Here is a 21,452-nt window from a genome sequence, read left to right as displayed (position 1 = left end):
TGAGTCACTGCTGATTCATTAAATACAATGCTCAAACAGTTTCTCACTCTTTTTAACTTATGCTATTTAAAACAATCCAAGTTGGCCAGGCACAATGGTTCACATCTGTAATCCCAACACTTGGGAAGGCCAAGGCGGGAGAATCACTTCAGCCCAGGAGTTTGAGACCAGCCTGGGCAACACGGTGAGACCCTCATCTCTACAAAATAAAAATAATTAGTCAGGTGTGGTGGTGTGTGTCTGCAGTCCTAGCTACTTGGGAGGCTAAAGAAGGAGGGATTCTTGAGTCATGGCGAGAGGATCATTTGAGCCTAAGAGTTCAAGGTTACAGTGAGCTATGACTGCACCACTGCACTCCAGCCTGGGCAACAGAGTGAGACCTCCATCTCTAAAAATAATAAAATAATCCAGTTAAAAACACTGATTTCTGGCCGGATGCAGTGACTCACGCCTGTAATCCCAGCACCTTGGGAGGATGAAGCAGGCAGATCACCTGGGGTCAGGAGTTCGAGACCAGCCTGGCCAACATGGTGAAACCCTGTCTCTACTAAAAATACAAAAATTAGCTGGGCATGGTGGCAGGCACCTGCAATCCCAGCTACTCGGGAGGCTGAGGCAGGAGAATCGCTTGAACCCAGGAGGCAGAGGTTGCAGTGAACCGAGATTGCATCATTGCACTCCAGCCTGGGCGACAAGAGCAAGACTCCATCTCAAATAAATAAATAAATAAATGTAAAAACACTGATTTTTTAAACATATATACATGTATGTATGTGCGTGCATATGTGTGTGTGTGTGTGTATATCCCAAAAAAGCAATAGTTACATTTTATCTTATACTTTTGACAAAATGTTTAACTTGAAGACATATACAATAAAAGTTAAAGTAGCTTCTCACCTTGACTACTCCATCAAAGCCAGGGATTGTATTAACCTCTGCTTTCTTAGCTAATAATTTGCTTTCAATCTTGTCGCCCATGGCTTGAATAGCATGTGTGTCAGGTCCAATGAAAACGACATCTTCTGCTGCCTGTGGAGAAAAACAAGTCAAAATTTATAACAAGAACATTACGGAGCATGATGTGGAGTCACAATTTTATAAAAGAAAAGCCCATATGTGTATTTTCTAATTATTTTTATTGCAGAAACAACAGTTTTTGAGCCAACACATTAAAATACTATATTGCATATAGTACATGTGTGGATAGATGCATGCAACAAAGTCAAATGAAAACAACCAAAAGCACTGAAGAACTCCTTCTGGGTAAACAGTGTGCCTCGGAAAAGTCACTCTATGACACTGTATTTGTATATAACGTCCTACACCACCTAATCTAGCCAGTAAGGTCACCCGTAAACACCTTATAAATCTCTGTGTTCTCAATAGCCTGCAGCATAATGCCTAGTATAACACAAATATCCATATTTCCTGAATACCAATTCTGTGCCAGGCTCTGAGCTAAACACAGGAGATAACATGGATGAAGACAACAGGATATCAACAATTTCCAGGAAACGTGAACAGATCACTGACACCTCAGAGAAATAGACAAAAGAAAGTACATGTTTGCATCCTGTGACTATAAAAGATGAGTCAAAAATCCAGTGGGAATTTAACTGGGTAGAGTTCAGTTTCAATCAAAACCACTCTGCACAAACCACACTGAATACCTTGACAATGGATCTACCTCTCTTGTTTATGCCACTCTAATTTAAAAAAAAAAGCTAGTGACTTAAATAGATCTAGAGACAGAACAAAATATGATGCCATTAGCTCCACCACAGGGCATGGTCTAGAAAAGTAATGGGGGTATTTGCTGAGATAAAGGATGAAGTCATTACATAAAGAACTGAAGGTAAATATAAAATGGGAAAAACCAGACCTATATGCAGGCCTTCCTCGAGGAAGGCGCCTAACTGCTGATTGTCCTACGACCTTGTCAGAGTTGGTATAAACAATAAACTGCATATTTGTATATCACTTTTACATCACCTGTTCATTCCATGTTAGCGTTGCTGCCTGCAAAGAATCTTGACTTGGGAAAAAAGGTTCATTCTCCTGGTGACCAGGGCAGCTGAGTAGCCTGTTGCTTGGACTGCTCTCCTGGCCATCATGACCAAGAGGATTAAACCCACCCCGAGCAGGAAGTAGAAGTAGAACAAGGAATAAACACAAAGAATATACAAGGAGATAAATATTTAAGAGGCGAGATGATGACTCCAACTTTGCACACGCTGAGCTGACAGGCCTCTGCAATAGTCAAGTATTCATGTTCAGGAGGCAGATATAGAGGTATAGGGGTTATTAGACAAGTCCAGGCTGAAACACAGATTTTTTCTTTTTTGAGACAGAGTCTCACTCTGTCACCAGGCTGGAGTGCAATGGCACAATCTTGGCTCACTGCAACCTCCGTCTCCCGGGTTCAAGCGATTCTCCTGCCTCAGCCTCCCGAGTAGCTGGGACTACAGGAGCGCGCCACCACGCCCAGCTAATTTTTGTATTTTTAGTAGAGATGGGGTTTCACCATATTGGCCAGGATGATCTCGACCTCTTAATCTCATGATCCACCAGCCTCCGCCTCCCAAAGTGCTAGGATTACAGGCATGAGCCACCACGCCTGGCCAAAATACAGATTTTTAAAGGCATCAAATACAGGACGGAATTAAAAGCTGTGAATGGCAGTCCGGGTGTGGTGGCTCATACCTGTACTCCCAGCACTTTGGGAGGCCGAGGAGGGCAGATCTTGAGGTCAGGAGATCGAGACCATCCTGACCAACACAGTGAAAGCCCGTCTCTACTAAAACTACCAAAAATTAGCTGGGCGTGGTGGCATGCGCCTGTAATCCCAGCTACTTGGGAGGCTGAGGTGGGAGAACTGCTTGAACCCAGGAGTCAGAGGTTGCAGTGAGCCGAGATGGAGCCACTACACTCCAGCCTGGCGACAGAGCGAGACTCCATCTCAAAAAAATAAATACAAAAATAAAAGTTGTGAATGAAATCATTCAGAGAAAATGAGTAGAAAAGCCAATGTCTTTAAATTCAAGAGGTATGCTTCTCTCCTACCCAAAAGCAAAACAAAAGAAAAGGGAAATTTTAGACCCTGAGTCTAAAGCACCCATTTCTTTGAGTGACAATGTGGATAATATCTGACTTTTAAGTTTGATTAAAGAATTAAATAAAATAATGTACAGGAGGAAAACTATTATTTTCCTTCTACCCTTCTAAGTTTATGGCTAGGGCACCTATTACAAAAGATAGTTTACCAAAAAAACAAGCATACACATTTACTTAATTGTAAGTTGTACGTGACACCGGAGCCTGCATAAGGAAATGAAAATCCAAAGAAACAGTTAAACTTGAGTGTTTTTATACAGGGTTGATGAGGACTGGTGAGTTATGGAGAAATGATAGCACGGAGAGCAAGAGGTAAGTATCATAAACTGGGGGAAACTACTCAGATTACTCTGCGTCCTTTTCTCTATGGGGATGAGGATGCTCCTCTCTTCCAGATACAGGAAGGGCATCTCTCACATGAAGGTCTTAGGATCTGGTTCAGAGAAGGTCAGAAAGTCCCTCCTAGGTCTTAGGACCTGCTTCAGGGAAGAGAGGAAGGGGAAGGTCAGAGACCTTCGTGCTTCTGCTGTTTTCTCCAAATCCTTCAGCTTATATGCCAAGGTGCCAAATTTGGGAGTAGCATGTCCTAAACCCCATCAATAATAATATAAAGCACCAAGTTGAGTGCCACAACTGTTAGTTTTTGTCCACTCTCCAGAAGTCTTGATAAAAAGAAGACATTAGAATGGCCGGGCACAGTGGCTCACACCTGTAATCCCAGCACTTTGGGAGGCCAAGGCAGGCAGATCACCTGAGGTCAGGAGTTTGAGACCAGCCTGACCAACATAGTGGCCTCTACTAAAAATACAAAAATCAGCTAGGCATGGTGGTGCACGCCTGTAATCCCAACTACTCTGGAGGTTGAGGCAGGAGAATTGCTTGAACCTGGGAGGTAGAGTTTGCAGTGAGCCAAGATTGCACCACTGCACTCCAGCCTGGGCAACAGAGTGAGACTCTGTCTCCAGAAAAAAAAGAGGACACTAGAATAATAAGATAGCTAGGTCCACAGGACTCTAAAATAATATTATAGGAACCCAAATGCCTAGAATTTGCTGGTGTTACAAGTGGCAGGATGCTAGACAAGAAACCCTTTCAGCCCTAAGAGGTGCTTATAAAGTATCTCTCTATCAAATGTTTCTGTATTTGGTTTTAGTAGAACCTTATTTTCATGGAAAAAAAAAATCTTATGCAAATCCCCAAAAATGTAAAGCACATACGTAGGAAGTAGCGCTGCTCTGTATGAGGAGATAATAGAGGTAAGCCTACACCTCTATCAACTCTACGTCTCCAGGTGGATACATGAATCATTTCGGACCAGGACAATAATCATATTCATTTCTCTTTATCCAAAACCTGAAACCCACTAAACACTAAGTAAAGACAAGAGGAAACAATCATGCTTCAACCATCAATTGTCTTTCCATATTCTCATTTTACTTGCAAAGATGGAAAATTTTATTATAAATGCTGCTTTAAAAACGACTATGCCAGGCAGATGTAATCAAGCAATCAGAGTACCCACACAAAGAATTGAAGAAATAACATAAATGAGAACATCCAAAATACATTATGATTATACAGTAAAACTTCTGATTAACAGGAGCCCAACGACCTGGAACACTGATTAACCAGATTTTTCTTGTGCATTCTAATTTGAGGAAAATTACTCACCCAAAAATGTAAAATTGTCAAAAAAAAAAAAAAAAAAGCTTATATCAAGTATTTAGTGACTATTTTTTGTCCCACCCAATACAAAAGAAAAATAGCCAGTAGTATGCTGGATAACTACAAATGTTTCAAAGACTTAACTTCCTTTTTATCAATGTGTTTTGGAAGTGCTCCCTAGATTGGCCTTTAAAAGTAATTAAAGCAAAATGAGAAAGCAACATTAGAGGCTCTTGGCTCCCATAAATCTGTAACCAAAAAGGATGAGGTCAGGATAAGAGAGTATGGTAACTGCAGTGTGATGGAGCATGTTTCAAATGTTTTCAGTTCTTGACCAGGCAGCGGTGTGACTTAGAATAAAAGGCCAGATTTTATCCACTAGTAACCTTCGATACTCTTCTGTTAACCCGGTATTTTTTGTTATCCATCTAATTATCAGTTTCCCTTAATCACTGTAAGTTTTTTGTTATGCAATAGCAACTAAATTTGTTTCCAAAAATATGCTTTTTAAGGTCCTTTTAAATTTACCTTGCATGATACATATAATATCTGAATACAAGTAAATGTCTTATGATCACAAAAAGTGGGCATTTTTCATCATTAAAGTGATTCATTTAAAAAAAAAAAATTATGAGCCAAGTGTGCCTGTAGTCCCAGGTACTTGGAAGGCTGAGCCAGGAGTATCTCTTGAGCCCAGATACTGTTCAAAGCTGTTGTGCGCTATGATGGCACCTATGACTAGCCACTACACTTCAGCATGGGCAACACAGCAAGACAAAAGAAGAGAAAGAAATTATGAAAAGCTGAAATCACTGCTCCAAAATTCTACTCATTTCCTAAATTCTGTGACTCTATGGTTCTGGACAAATTTTAATAGAAGAATGGGGGAAAGGGTTGGGTTTGAGCAGTATGTTAAGGAAATGAGATTTAATTTACCATAGGCTTTATGTCAGGAATGAAGGACAGAAAGAATCATTGTAAAAATTAAAATGTATGATACATATTTCATTCTTAGAAATACCACAAGTTAGTAAATTGCTATATTATGAATTCAGATTTTAAAGCGTATAGATTTTAGGCTTACCAAGAGTTGCTACTTGGATAACTACAAAACCAGGGTCAGAAGAAAAAGACAGCCATGGGGCTGGGCACAGTGGGTCACGCCTGTAATCTCAGCACTTTGGGAGGCCGAGGCAGGTGAGCTGCACGAGCTCAGGAGTTTGAAACCAGGCTGAGCAACATGGCAAAAACTTTTCTCTACAAAAAATATAAAAATTAGCCAGGCATGGTGGTGTATACCTGTGGTCCCATGTGGTCCCAGCTACTCAGGAAGCTGAGGTAGGAGGATTGCTTGAGCCCAGCGGGTAGAGGCTGCAGTGAGCCGAGACTGCACCGCTGCACTCCAGCCTGGATGACAGAGCAAGACCCTGTCTCGAAAAAAAAAAAAAAGCCACGGAAAAACAGCTGAACTGTCCAAAAGATCCAGATTGTGGTTTTTAATACTATTCCATGATAAAAGAAAAGAGTGTTTCTGGTAGAAAAGGCCAGTTCCAGGATTGGTTCAGGAAGTTAGCACATGAGATAAACTGAGTCAGAAAGAAAGCTTTCAAAAACTAATGTAGCAGATAGAAAGGAGCACCCACTGAATATAGTGATGTCAATAGGAACATCAAAAAGAATACTGGGGAGATTACAGGGTTAATTCATTCTTTTCAAGACCTCAGAATAAACCACTTCCTGCTATCTCTACTCGTGTTTGAACTTCTTGGACATGAGTCACTGATTTTAAAATACATGGCTCTTTAAAAAGAAATGTAGAGAAAAACCAATTTTACACATTAAACTAAGTGAAATAAAATATCAAGGTAAAATCCAACATAATTTTTTTTGTTTTTTGTCTTGATACGAAGTCTCACTCCGGAGTGCAGCGGTGCAATCCTGGCTCATTGCAATCTCCGCCTCTTGGGTTCAAGCAATTCTCCTGCCTCAGCCTCCAAGTAGCTGGGACTACAGGCACCCCCCACCATGCCGGGCTAATATGGTTTTATATTTTTAGTAGAGACAGGGTTTCACCATGTTGGCCGAGCTGGTCTCGAAATCCTGACCTCAAGTGATCCACCCGCCTCGGCCTCCCAAAGTTCTGGGATTAAAGGCGTGAGCCACCATGCCTGGCCCCAATACAATGTTTTTATAAGGCAAAGAAAAAGGGACCAGAGTAACATCCATGTAGGGCAGGAAAGCACAGGAGAAAAACATACCAATACAATAGATCAAAACTATCATCTCATTTCTTTTTTTTTTTTTTTTTGAGACGGAGTCTCACTCTGTCACCCAGGCTGGAGTGCAGTGGCGCGACCTCAGCTCACTGCAACCTCCACCTCCCAGGTTCAAGCAATTCTCCTGCCTCAGCCTCCCAAGTAGCTGGGACTACAGACGCGCACCACCACGCCCGGCTAATTTTTTTTGTATTTTTAGTAGAGACGGAGTTTCATTATGTTGGCCAAGCTGGTATCGAACTCCTGATCTCGTGATCCGCCTACCTTGGCCTCCCAAAGTGCTGGGATTACAAGCGTGAGCCACCGCACCTGGCCTATCATCTAATATTTCAAAACAAGTTAAAAGACATTTTTAAGTGACACATAACATAAAATAGTATAAATCAGATTTAGAAAAGCTCAGAAATGAGATGACAGAACTCAGGATACAACTAGAAATGAAAAAGAAAATCATTCCAGAAATGAAAACAGCTACAAAGAATGTAAGAGTGAATAAGGAAAACAGACAATGCCTTATGAGAAAGACAAATTGAAAATAAAAATATTTAATTTAAATATAAAAAATGAATAAATAATACAGAAGATGAGAAATATTGAAAATAAAAAAGAACATCCAACATATGAATAATAGGAATCCTTGAAGAGAACCAAAGCAAAAAAAAGAGCAAATATTAAAAATACAACTCAAGAAAATTTACTTGAACTAAAAATACATATTAAAAGACCACACTACAGGAGAAATTCATTCCAGGATGACCAACATACCAAGAAAAATTCTAGCAATATTACTTAAGTAAAAGAAAATGAAAAAAAAAAAAACAGGAATAGGTAACTTATACAAAAGAGAAATTTAAATAATCATCAGACTTTGACAGCAACATTTTATACCAAAAGAAAATGGAATAATAAACTCTTTTGAGTAAGAAATTCAAGGAAAGAAAGTATGAGCTAATAATTTTATGTTCTTTTCGTGGAACAGGGTCTTGCTCTGTTACCCAGCCTGGAGTGCAGGGGTGCCATTATAGTTCACTGCAGCCTCAAACTCCTGGGCTCAAGTGATCCTCCCATCTTGACCTCCCAAGTAGCTAGGCCTACAGATGTGTACTGCTGTGCCCAGTTTTTTTTTTTTTTTTTTTTGGGTAGAGATGGAGTCTTGCTATGTTGCCTATGATGGTCTCAAACTCCTGGCCTCAAGTGATCCTCCTGCCTCAGTCTCCCAAAGTGTTGGGATTGCAGGCATGAGCCACCAGGCTGAGTCAAGCTAAGAATTTTAAATCCATAGAAGTCAGTGCAACTATGAAAGGCAGAGAAAATTTAACAACATGCAAGAACTCATAAACTCTGAGAAGTCCAATACAACAGAGGTTTGCAAACTAGTGTGTAGGCCAAATCTGGCCCATTCACTCCCTGCTTTTGGTTTTTTTTTTTTTTTTTTTTTTTTTTTTTTTGAGACGCAGTTTCAGTCTTGTTGCCCAGGCTGGAGTGCAATGGTGCAATCTCAGCTCACTGCAACCTCCAGCTCCCGGGTTCAAGCGATTCTCCTGCCTCAGCCTCCCAAGTAGCTGGGATTACAGGCATGCACCACCACGCCCAGCTAATTTTGTATTTTTAGTAGGGACGGGGTTTCACCATGTTGGTCAGGCTGGTCTCAAACTCCTACTTCAGATGATCCGCCCACCTCAGCCTCTCAAAATGCAGGGATTACAGGTGACAGCCACCACACCTAGCCTCACTGCCTGTTTTTGTACAGTCCATGATCTAAGAAAAGATTTTACTAATTATTGGGGGTGGGGGTTAGGCAAAAATTTTTTTAAATACTGTATCATTACACATAAAAATTATATGAAACTGAAACGTAGCCACCATGCTCATAGTTTACACTGTCTGTGATTGCTTTCTCACTATAAGAATAAGAATGAGTACTAGCAGAGATCATAGGGCCTACAAAGCCAAAAATATTTCCCCTCTGGCTCCTTACAGAAAAGGTTTGCCCACTCCTGTACTAGAGAATGAGCTTCAGGAAACTAAAATGACAAAAGAGATATCAACAAAAAGAGTCGGGATTTACTTGTAGAGCTAAAACTAAATGAAAGCTAAGGAGATATATATATAAAACCTTATAGATAACAGCCACATTTTCTGACAATATAGATATAGTACAACTTTTTTTTTAATATTACAGGAAGATTATGTACAAATACATTTTTAATGTTTTTAGTAATCATATTGGTAGTGGTATTAACATTGTTATCCTGAGATTGCTCTGTGTATAGCACAGGACAAGACAAATAAGCAATTGTGAGATACTCTAATTCTGTCATTTCCCCTATCCTTGAGAGTCAGAATTCTGAATCCAGAAGAATGAAGATACACAGAGGCAACAAAGAGGTTAAAGTTCTGCAATTTTGAATTGTAATGGAAAATATTGCTATGAACACAGGAGTTGTTTTGTCTCACATAAAATGTAGACTTTATTTAATTATACTTCTATATTGTTATATACATTATATATGAGAAAAATGTTATGTGCATTTTATTAATACAGTATGATTATTATAATATAAATTTGTTTTATATACATACCCTATTTTGGGTTAGGGTTGGCATTATATTTAAACATATTTATATAGTAAATATATTGCCATATGGTATATATTTTATTAATATAATATAGTTAAGATAACATATTGTATTATAAGCAATATACATATATAACATAAAACGTATATGTTAAAAACCTGTTAATATATATGTATATTTTTTTTCCTAGCCTGCAACTAAAAAGGCTTAAAATGACCAATCAGTAGCAATGACCATGCCTAGTACCCCAACTGTGATCTCCAAATACCATTAGAAGAAGCCAAGGCATTTTGAAAAGATGGCTGATTAGAGTTGAACAGAAGGCCAGGCACTGTGGCTCACGCCTGTAATCCCAGCACTTTGGGAGGCCAAGGCGGGTGGATCACGAGGTCAGGAAATCGAGACCATTCTAGCTAACATGGTGAAACCCCATCTATACTAAAAATACAAAAACAAAATTAGCCAGGCATGGTGGCAGGCTCCAGCAGTCCTACTCAGGAGGCTGAGGCAGGAGAACAGTGTGAACCCGGGAGGCAGAGCTTGCAGTGAGCCAAGATTGCGCCACTGCACTCCAGCCTGGGTGACAGAGTGAGACTCTGTCTCAAAAATAAATAAATAAATAAATAAAAATAAAGAGTTGGAACAGAAAATGTAAAACATGAGCCTGGAATGTCCTGTCAGATCAGATAGTAAGGAAGCTAGAGAAGATTATGAGGTCAAGTCAAAAAGACCCGTGAGTCAACTTAAGCCCCACGGACCAAAGAGGAACAACTTGACTTCACAGTAATTTCAACAGTATGACTTCATAGTGATTTCTTCAAAAGAATTGGCTAACTTCGAGGGATGATAAGGAACCAATCATTACTTCAGAAATAGTAAATAAAGGTAAAGAATTAAGCATTTATCTTGCTTCTCATATATGAATTGTACCAGTGGTAATAAAACAGTAAATGAGAAGAAGGGTTTCTTTCTAAATATATTCCAATTAACTAATGAAAAAAATGTTAGCATTAAACTACCAAAATTTTGTAATCCAATAAATTACTAGATATGGGCAGTAAGCATCAAAGTCTGCTTATATCTTAAAAAGAGCTAAAAAGACATTATGTGCCTCCTATAGTCTTCATCAAAGGCATCAAATCCAAGTCTGATCCCATCTCTGAATTCAAGTGCCAATTTGTAGGAAACACCAAGAATGGGGGAAACCACTGAGCTATAGCATCGCCATGCAGTGAGCTAAGTCAAGACTGGGGTAAGACTCTGTAAGTCAAACACCCAAGTTCTTCAACAGATAAGTCATGAAGAAAAGGAAGCAAGAGGAGCCTACAGACTAAGATTTTAAAGACTTATCAAATTTAAAAATAAATGGACAAGACTTAAATATTGTGTCCAAGGTGGCACATTTGGACAATAAAATTATTTTTAAACGCAAAAAAAAATGATTACTATAAAAGCCAAAGGAATGGGTATGTTTAGAGAGAGGCCGGAGGTTAGCACTGAGATGGGTCACACAGCTTTCCAGGATTCAGGGTAAACATCTGCGTCTGGACCTATTTCATGATTTCAAAATAGTTCGCCCTATAATAGTTCATTAAGCCATAGGTTTCTTTTGTATAGTTCTCCTGTAACTGCCTTTTATTTTACAATAAAAATTTTGAAAACTATTTCAGAGTAGCCACCAACTTATAGGAGTGAAATCAACACACGGACTAGGAGCAGCTTCAGCAGCTCTATGCCCAGTGAAGTGTTTCTCAAGCCAGTTTGCCAGCCTCTTCCAGGGACTTTAGGCTTAAAAAAAAAAAAAAAAAAAATTGTAAAGTACATTCTTATGTTTGGCTGGGATGCTTCAGTAAAGATTCTCATTTTGTACAAAGTGAACCATGGTGAAATGTTTACTTAGCACTAAAGGTTAAATGTGGCAACTGCAGACCGGGTGTGGTGGCTCACTCCTGTAATCCCAGCACTTTGGGAGGCCGAGGCGGGCAGATTACCTGAGGTCAGGAGTTTGAGACCAGCCTGGTCAACATGGTGAAACCCCGTCTCTACTAAAAATATAAAAAATAGCCAGGCATGGTGGTGTGCACCTGTTATCCCAGCTACTCGGAAGGCTGAGGCAGGAGAATCACTTGAGCCAGCAGGCAGAGGTTGCAGTGAGCCAAGATCATGCCATTGCATTCCAGCCTGGGCAACAAGAGCGAAACTCGTCTCAAAAATGAATGAATGAATGAATGAATGAATGAATGAATGAATGAATGAACGTGGCAACTGCAAAGTATGAAAACATTTGTTTCACTTGTTTGGACATGGACAGCCAGAACAGGAACTCACCTCTGCAGCATTACCATGTCCAAAACACTCAAGCTTTGCTCTTTAATCAGAGATTCAATCTCACTCCTGGGTTGCAAAGAAGAAGAATGTTCCCATTGCCATGAGTGCTGCTGAAATCACAGACGAGATGAGACTGCATTATCTGAGCAACAGAAACTGGGCATCAGGCCACCTGCACCAGTATTATGGAGACCGGCTCTGTAAAGGTCTGGGTACCACCAAATCAGTGATGAAATGAGAAGCAAATGAATAGAGAACAACTCATCCTCCTCCCTCTTTCTTCCTTACCTTTTTACTACCTCCACTTTATGCTCCTGCGGCAAGCTGTGCAACACTGTGTATTGAGTGCCAGGAGCTGTACACTGTGCTGTAAATGTGGCAGACACACCTGCAAACAGATTTCTTAACGAATGTAAATAGTTTTGGTTTCCAACAAGGCCATTTCTGGTACTCCTACGCAATATTACTCAGACTTTTATTTTTTTTAATTGGAAAACAAGTCAGTTTAGCACCAGGATGAAATCTGGGGCATGTTAGTATCTGGACTCCAAAGAGTTACTGCATAAAAGAAGAATGGCCCCTTCTCCCAGCTTTTAGGTGTTAAAATTTACTTTGGCAGTTGGTTTTTAACCTGAACTCAGTGTACTTTAAACAATAATCATTAAAAATAAAAGATAAGGCTGGGCACAGTGGCTCATGCCTGTAATCTCAGCACTTTGGGAGGCCAAGGTGCCTGGATCACAGCCTGACCAACAGGGTGAAACCATCTCTACTAAAACTACAAAAATTAGCTGGGCATGGTGGCATGCTCCTGTAATCCTAGCAACTCAGGAGCTGAGGCAGGAGAATCTATTGAACCTGGGAGACAGAGGTTGCAGTGAGCCAAGATCACACCACTGTGCTCCAGCCTGGGTGACAAAGCGACACTCTGTCTCAAAAAATAAAATTAAATTAAAATAATAAAAGGTAAAGCCCAGGAGTTCAAGATCAGCCTGGACAACACAGTGGGGCCCTGTTTCTACAAAAAAAAATTTAAAAATTAACCAGGCATGGTCCCAGCTACACAGGAGGCCAGGGCAGGAGGACTGCTTGAGCCCAGGAGGTCAAGGCTGCAGTGAGCCATGTTCACACCACTGCACTCCAGCCTGGGCAACAGAGCAAAATCTTGTCTCAAAAATAAATATATAAAAATAAAAGATAAGGAGAACATTTGAATGCTGAGAGGGGAGAAACATTCCTAGTGTCATTTTTGTGATCCTGGGTAAGTTCCAGTCCCCTGGGTAAGGATGTGCACTGGTACTAGTCAACACTGCACTGGAAGTCCTGAGTCTGTGCAATGGTGACAACACATTAGAGAAGACTGGAATATAAATCCTAATTAATTTTCCCCAACATTGACTGTGGGGCATCAACAAAGGTAGGAAGGAGCAGAATAACCTAGAAGAGGATGCCCTCAGCCTCTCACCTACTACATTTATAGGAGTCATTTTCTTTAACTCTTACCAGCTCATTGTAAATTAAAACCCAATTTAGCTGATTCATTAGGATAAGAACATAAATGGATGTGATTGCTATGGGAGATGGGTAGTGGAAGGGGGTAAAGGTTCTATTATTTTAAAATTCAAAAGTAAAAACTTATAAACCCACACGATTTTTAAATGTTTGGGATGCTAATTGCAAATTCAATTAAAATCTAATGACATACTCACAAACTGTATTTAATTTATAGTACACTGTACACTATGACTTAGTTTAACCAAAGGAACCTGTGTCTTTCTGTTTCAGTATTACTGGGATCTGGATTTCATTTAGTCTAAAGTATATTCTGTATTAAGTGTCTACTGGCACAATGCACTGAAGTAATACTATTACTTCCAGATGATAGCTATGTACGGTATTTAGTTAGGGAAAGAGAACAGTGGTAACTTTCCCCACTGTAACTGTCGGCAGAAGTTAAGTTTCCCACTTAAGTATATTTTAAGGAATATATTATAGTTAAATATAAAACCTTGTTTCTCCTACACTGATGGGGAGTGAGTATTACAGCAATAGAAAACTTTCTGTTTTTAATATCTGGCAATTAAATGATTTCCATTTCTACTTTTTAGCAAACATTAAGTCAAAAAATTGTTCAATTTCTTTTATTAAATGTTTCGGGTTTCTGACCAAGGTACTTAGAACAAACAAGAGTTTTTTGGTATTGATTACTTTAATAAAAACCATTTCAACAAACAAACTATAAATCTCAATATCTTTGTACTTTCCTGGTAAGCTTTTCAAATTTATGGAGGAAACTTTTTATTTTAAAAAATTTGAATTACTATGTTCGTTATTAATTTTGGAAATGTTCTTTCTATTCCTAGAAGACTAAGATTAAAGTATGTTAGTGTTTTCCATTTCTTTTGTGCATATTTGATTTTTTCTTTTTATTTCCCTGTAATCAGCACTGATACCACTTCCAGAGTCTCATTGATTGTAAAGAAGAAAGAGCCTGGGTGGGTAAGCCTCACATTCTTCACTCTTTGTGCACATCAGGATACTAAAAAGAGATGAGTTAACATAAACCTGAGTAGGCTGTTAACCTTTTTCTCTTCGGGAAATGTAGATGCAATAACATTTCCAGTTGAAAGACTTATTCTGAGTTCCTAATGTTTAAGAATGCAAATGAAGTATTTTGTCTTCTCTGTGCCTGGAGGTGTTAGGTAAGAAAATAGAAAGAGGTTTCTAGGATTAGCTCCACAGATTTCCTTTATCATGTAAAACCTTAGACTGGTTGCACTGACAAGAATCAAAGAAAGGCAATATAGAAGATACCCAGAGAAAATTCAGTAACTTGTTCAGCAATAACACTGAGAAAATTTGAGTTAACAAAAACAAGCTTTGGGATGAATTTTAGCCTCCCTCCTTTAAGGAAATGCTAGCTTTAATATTAGAACGCTAATGAAAATACTTTGCCAAATACTGTTAATCAGTTTAAATAACACTAAATTTCCTTAGGTGAAATGCTTAAATGTATCACTCAACTATTTTTCAGAAGTTTCTTTCTGCTTTACATAATAATAACAATAATGCTTTAATTAAACATATCGATACAAATTTTAGTTTTTCTTTTAGATGTATCTTTTAAGAAGATGAGGTAAGAAGAAGGTAAGAAGCTTCACATTTAAATTTGGTATACATTGCTAAGGTCCTCCTCATGGAAGCTGATCACAAGGATTTGTTTTGAAGTTGTAATTTCTTTCCTCTATACCTCATATAAAATGCTTTTATTTTATATCCCTATTTTATATCATTTTAAATTTGAATATTTAAAATGAGCTGTTTTCATTTCTCCCTGATTCAATTCTTTTTATTGTTTCATGAACAGGAATATTAATTGGTACCTTTTTGGTTGCAAAATAATATTTTTCCAGTTAAACTTTGGAATATAACTTACAATAACTATGAATATAATTGGCAATTTTACAGTATAAGCAAAAAAATGAAGATTTGATAACACTTCACTTAGCATGAGGGTCTCTTGCTGTAAATGCCCAATGCCACCCCTTCCTGCTCATGCCTCACAGTCCACTCACACTTAGTGAACTAAGAGTGAAAAAGAACAGAAAGCTGGTAAACTGGTGAAAGGCAAGAGATCTTTTGTTTAGTCCGTCAGATCAGATATTAAATTTAATTTTACGGCCGGGCGCAGTGGCTCACGCCTGTAATCCCAGCACTTTGGGAGGCCAAGGTGGGCAGATCACAAGGTCAGGAGTTCGAGACCAGCCTGGCCAATATGGTGAAACCCCGTCTCTAATAAAAATACAAAAAAAATTAGCTGGGTGTGGTGGCACACGCCTGTAATCCCAGCTACTCGGGAGGCTGAGGCAGGAGAATTGCTTGAACCCGGGAGGCGGAGGTTGCAGTGAGCTGAAGTTGCACCACTGCACTCCAGCCTGGGCGACAGAGGGAGACTCCGTCTCAAAAATAATAATAATAATAATAATTTTACAACTTTTTAATTGGCTTTGTATATTCTCTGAATTGTGTGCTTTTTCTATTTTCTTTGAAAATATTTACAATTTCTTTCAAAATTTACCACAAGTCAAAATCCTCCCACGTCTTGCTTAACCTCGTGTTTTCTGAAATGCATCAAGTTTTTGATCCCATTGCTGGATAGAAATAAGAGTCATATAGTTTAGGTAAAGTATGCTGTACCTACAGTTGGGATATTCTTGTTTTAAGCACTTAATTGCTGTGTTTTACTATAGCCTACATTATAAAGCTTATTTCAAATACTGAGCAAAATATTAAAATAGCAGAGATCATGATTTCTTTTTTTTTTTTTGAGACGGAGGCTTGCTCTGTCACCCAGGCTGGAGTGCAGTGGCACAATCTCGGCTCACTGCATGCTCCGCTTCCCAGGTTTGTGCCGTTTTCCTGCCTCAGCCTCCCGAGTAGCTGGGACTACATGAGCCCGCTACCACGCCAGGATAATTTTTTTGTAGAGACGGGGTTTCACCATATTAGCCAGGATGGTCTCTATCTCCTGACCTCATGATCTGCCTGCCTTGGCCTCCCAAAGTGCTGGGATTACAGGCATGAGCCACCGCACCCGGACTATGATTTATAATTAATTACCTTGAGCACAATTCCTCACAATACTTAGCACTACTCAAACCCTACAACCTGCTAAATTCACCCTTTATTCTGATTAAGAGCAATGATGCAATGAAGTGAAAGTGACAATAAGATGTAGTAGATGGACCCAAGCTGACATTTGTTTATCTGTAGGAAACAATTCTAAGTTTAAAAATGAATTAAAAGAACAAGGAATATAATGATACTAACAAAAACTACAATATTTATTTACTTATTTCATACTATTTAAAAGCACTGTATTAAGTCTCACTTTATTACTAAAAAACCATTTTATAGATTAGCATTTCAGTCATCAGATTCAAATTTGTTTACAAAGTTAGAAAGTCTTCAATTGATTCTAAAACGATATTGTAGTATCTATGACACTTCACAGCTCTCAAGGGCGTTTTTTTATATCTTCTCTTCCTCAAAACACAAAAAGGAGGGGGCCTAAGAAACAGCAGGAAATAAATGGTCATCACTACTTAACATGTCAGTAAAATGAGGGTCTTCAAGATGAAATAAATTACCCACAGTCATTAGACTAGTGAAGTGACAGAGATAAGACTAAGACACAAACCAGCGTTTTGAATCTGCAATTCAATCACCTTCTCAGGCCCATCTCACCTGCTTGTAAACAGGTGCAAGTGGCCTCTGCTTTTTCAATAAGCTAAAGATTACTGGAGAGTAACCAGCCATCAGGTTTGCCTCGCACAGCCTTGAACACATCTATTACTCGGTGTCCTATCTGATTAGCGTCCCTTTTCACTCTCGGAAGCAGGCTGGTTAAGTAGACATGGTTTTCACACTCAAGAGTTTATAGTCTAGTAGAACAAACAACAACACATGTACCAAAAAATAAAAACAATACACGGTAAGAATAGTCAGTGCACTAGAAGAGGTAAAAATCAGACACGGTGAACAGAGTCCAACAAGGGAATCAAGGACGGCTTCACAAAGGAAGGAGCATTTGAGGGGGAAAAGGACAATTAGGATTTGGAAAAGTAGCATGGGCAAGCAAACATTTAAATATTTAGGAAAACACCTCTCTCACTGATCTGTAAACCGTTCTTTTCTTTTTAAGACAGGGTCTGGCTCTATGGAGTGCAGTGGCGTGATCTCAGCTCACTGCAACCTCTGCCTCCCAAGCTCAAGGGATCCTCCCGCCTCAGCCTCCTGAGTAGCTGGGACTACTGGTGCATGCGTAAACAGTTTTTTGATCATCAGAGAATAATAATGATCCTGCAAACAACCAGCACTCATCTATAAGGATCTCCTCTCTTTTTAAGTCTTACAACAACTAGATTTCAATTTTATACGCCTTTGATGTCTGCTTAACACAGTCATGTATTCATTCATCCTACAAATAGCTGCCAACACCAACTCTACGTCAGGCACTGTGGTAAGCCTAGGAATTCAATGATGGACAAGACAGAGGTGCACCAGGACCTCGCTTATTTGACTAACTAGAAGAGAAAATATAACACAATTAAAATCAAAATAAAGCATGAGTACTGTGGTAGAGGAATTAGAAAGTACTCTGGGAAACTAATGGCAATTGAACTAAAGCAAAGATGGATGGGAACTTTGTTAGCCAACTCTACATAAATTTACTACAATGATATTTTCATATGTGAAGTGGCAATATTGCAATTATCAACTGCATAAATAATAAAAGACAAAGGCAATTCTTTCCAAGATACAAATTCCTCCCCCTTTGCTTCAGAGAATTGCTTCCTCCAATTCACATTAAGTACTCTTACAATTTAACACGTTCAGATCACCTGAGATTTGTCTTTCTCAATAATTCCAACCAGAGCCTTCATAGCCTTCTAGATCAAACTTGAAAATGCAGTCTTCTCCTTTCATTAAAGTCAAGCCTTGTAACTGATGAAGGAAAAAGCTGGCATTGTATATAATAGACTAAGCTTCATTTTATGTCAACTACCAGCAAGCGTAAAATCTCAGCAGAATGATATTCTCACAATGTTGTAGCAGCCAGCGTGACTTCCTTGGGTGTATGTTATCACCCCTATTCCCAGCCATTTGAAATATGACTGACACCAACTGTAACCCCTCACTTCCCATGCCACTAGAATCTTACAAAACAAGTGTTGGGCAGGATTTTAAATTATATTCTTGTATAAAAGAAAGTAAGGAATTAGAAGCAGTGGAGTATAAAGGTTAAGAACAGGGACTGTGGAGCCTGCCTTCACTCCAGTTCCACCATATACTACCTGGTTGGCCTTGGACGAGTTCCTTGGCTGCTGTGTGCCTCAGTTTCCCTATCTGTGAGGATATATGATTAATAAATGTAAGACACTTAGGACGGAGGTGACCCGTAGTAAGCTGCGACACAAGTGTGAAGGGACTCCAGAGTCTCAGTCACACCACTATTGGCTGCTGAGGCCTCCCAGCCTTCCTCCCTGGGTGGAGAATTTTCCTGTGTTCCATGGGCCTCATTCCTGAGACAGTAATAGTTCTGCGGTAAAATGCTGTGCACTTGAAACCTTAAGAAGCTTATGAAATCACAACTGTCGTGTGCTGAGATGCACTTCCAACAGCTTGAAATAGTTTACTGACTTTATCATTGCCTTAAACACTTCTAACACAAATAGGGTGCTTGGAAGTACTATGGTTGAGAATGCTTTCTGATTTGAGGAGGGCGTTTTGTTTTGTTTTATTGGAAGCAGGATCTCTCTCTCTGTTGCCCAGGCTAGAGTGCAGTAGTGTGATCACTGCAGCTTTGACACCTAGGGCTCAAGCCATCCTCCCACATCAGCCTCCAAAGTAGCTGGGACTACAGGCGCACACCACCATGCCTGGCTAATTTTTTTGTATTTTTAGTAGAGATGGGGTTTCACCATGGGACCAGGCTGTTCTCGAATTCCTGACCTCATGATCCACCTATCTCAGCTTCCCAAAGTGCTGGGATTACAGGTGTGAACCACCACGACCAGCCCCTTTTTCTTACTTTTTGTAGTGATGGGGTCTCCTTATTTTGTCCAGGCTGGTCCCAAACTCCTAGGCTCAAGCAATCCTCATGCCTTGGCCTCCCAAAGTGCTAGCATAACAGGCATGAGCTTTTTGGTGTTTTGTTTTGGAGACAGGGTCTCGCTCTGTCGCCCAGGCTGGAGTGCAATAGCACAATCTCGGCTCACTGCAGCCTCCACCTCCCAGGTTCAAGCAGTTCTCCCGCCTCAGCCTCCCAAGTAGCTGGGACTACAGGTATATGCCATCACATCTGGCTAATTTTTAGTAGAGACAGGGTTTCACCATGTTGGCCAGGCTGGTCTCGAACTCCTGACCTCAAGTGATCCACCTGCCCAGGCCTCCCAAAATGCTGGGATTACATGCGTGAGCCACCACGCCCAGCCACGCTTTTTGGTTTTAAAGGCTCAGTTTTGACACTGAATTTATCACACTTGACAATGCTTTGACTCTTTATTTTAATAATGCTATTTAATTACAAATCAACTTCAAAAGCCCTTTTGAATTTTTGGCCTTACTATTCACACTAGAAGTTGAACACACAGGAATCACAAGTCAATATAACGCAATAACAGCCATCAAAGATTACGTGCGTGATCTTCAGATAACATTTCATAAGGTCCACCCACCTTATTAATCAGAAAACAGTGCTCTCATTGTATCATATTAATTAGTCATGACACATTTTCAACTATTATAAGAGGAGGCTAGATTCTAGTTAAGACCTGCCAAGAAATGAAGGGCAACACCTCATGAAATGACAACTAATTTGAAATACATTCTCTGTCCTCTTTATATTACCAATAACAAAACCCTAAAGGGATTTGGTACTTTTCCAATATGGCTGTTCAACCTAGCAAAGAATTTTCAAACTAACAACATGTATATTGATTCCAGGGTATTTTTAGTGAGAGGACAGTCTAGAAATGATCTTAAGCTGAAAAAGGTGTGATTTTATGGATTTAAAATAATAATGCAGCCAGGCACAGTGCCTCATGCCTGTAATCCCAGCACTTTGGGAGGCCAAAGCAAGGGGATTGCTTGAGTTCAGGAGTTCAAGAGCAGCCTGGGCAACATATATTTTTTTAAATATAGAGACAAAGTCTTAGGCAAAGAGCTTAAGCAAAGACTTCAAGACCAAGAACCCAAAAGAAAATGCAACAAAAACAAAGATAAAAGATGCGACTTAATTAAACTAAAAAGCTTCTGTACAGCAAAATAAACAATCAGCAAACAGAAAACCCACAGAGTGGGAGAAAACCTTCGCAATCTAAACATCCAACAAACGACTAATATCCAGAATGTACAACGAACTCAAACAAATCAGCAATAAAAAAATGAACAATCCCATCAAAAAGTAGGCTAAGCAGCAATTCCATTACTGGGCATATACTCAAAGGATTATAAATCGTTCTACGATAAACACACATGCACACGTATGTTTACTACGGCACTATTCACAGTAGCAAAGACATGGAACCAACCGAAATGTCCATCAATGATAGAATGGATTAAGAAAATGTGGCACATACATATACCATGGAATACTATGCAACCATAAGAAAGACGAGTTCATGTCCTTTGCAGGGACATGGATGAAGCTGGAAACCATCATTCTCAGCAAACTATCACAAGATCAGAAAACCAAACACCGCATGTTTTCACTCATAAGTGGGAGTTGAACAATGAGAAGACATGGACACAGGGAGGGGAACATCACACACCGGGGCCTGTCAGGGGGTGGGGGGCTAGGAGATGGATAGGATTACGAGAAATACCTAATGTAGCTGACGGGTTGATGGGTGCAGCAAACCACCATGGCACATGTATACCTATATAACAAAACTGCACATTCTGCACATGTACCCCAGAACTTAA

General features: G+C 39.5%; 1 protein-coding gene across 34 annotated transcripts in view, besides 1 other annotated feature; it reads right to left on the bottom strand.

The window, feature by feature from the left end:
• Positions 1 to 21,452, bottom strand: part of PCCA (propionyl-CoA carboxylase subunit alpha) — a 441,343-nt gene that overhangs the window by 320,075 nt on the left and 99,816 nt on the right. For all 34 annotated transcript variants that reach the window (NR_148030.2, NR_148027.2, NR_148028.2 and 31 more), the window contains one exon: positions 898 to 1,029. Coding sequence is in view for 25 of the 34 variants with exons in the window: in XM_017020609.2 (XP_016876098.1) it covers positions 898 to 1,029 (132 nt within the window). In the remaining 9 variants the exon portion in view is untranslated. The remainder of the gene's footprint in view (positions 1 to 897; positions 1,030 to 21,452) is intronic.
• Positions 12,378 to 12,878: an enhancer, noted in NCBI's record as "H3K27ac hESC enhancer chr13:100849737-100850237 (GRCh37/hg19 assembly coordinates)". NCBI's record gives its function as "activates a minimal SCP1, AML or CMV promoter by ChIP-STARR-seq in naive H9 embryonic stem cells {active_cell/tissue: H9 hESC(naive)}" and the evidence as "EXISTENCE:reporter gene assay evidence [ECO:0000049][PMID:30033119]".

The sequence above is a fragment of the Homo sapiens genome, chromosome 13 (assembly GCF_000001405.40).
Source record: "Homo sapiens chromosome 13, GRCh38.p14 Primary Assembly".
Classification (NCBI taxonomy): domain Eukaryota; kingdom Metazoa; phylum Chordata; class Mammalia; order Primates; family Hominidae; genus Homo; species Homo sapiens.
Note: the sequence above shows the minus strand (reverse complement) of the source record. Positions and strands in the feature narration are given on the sequence as shown.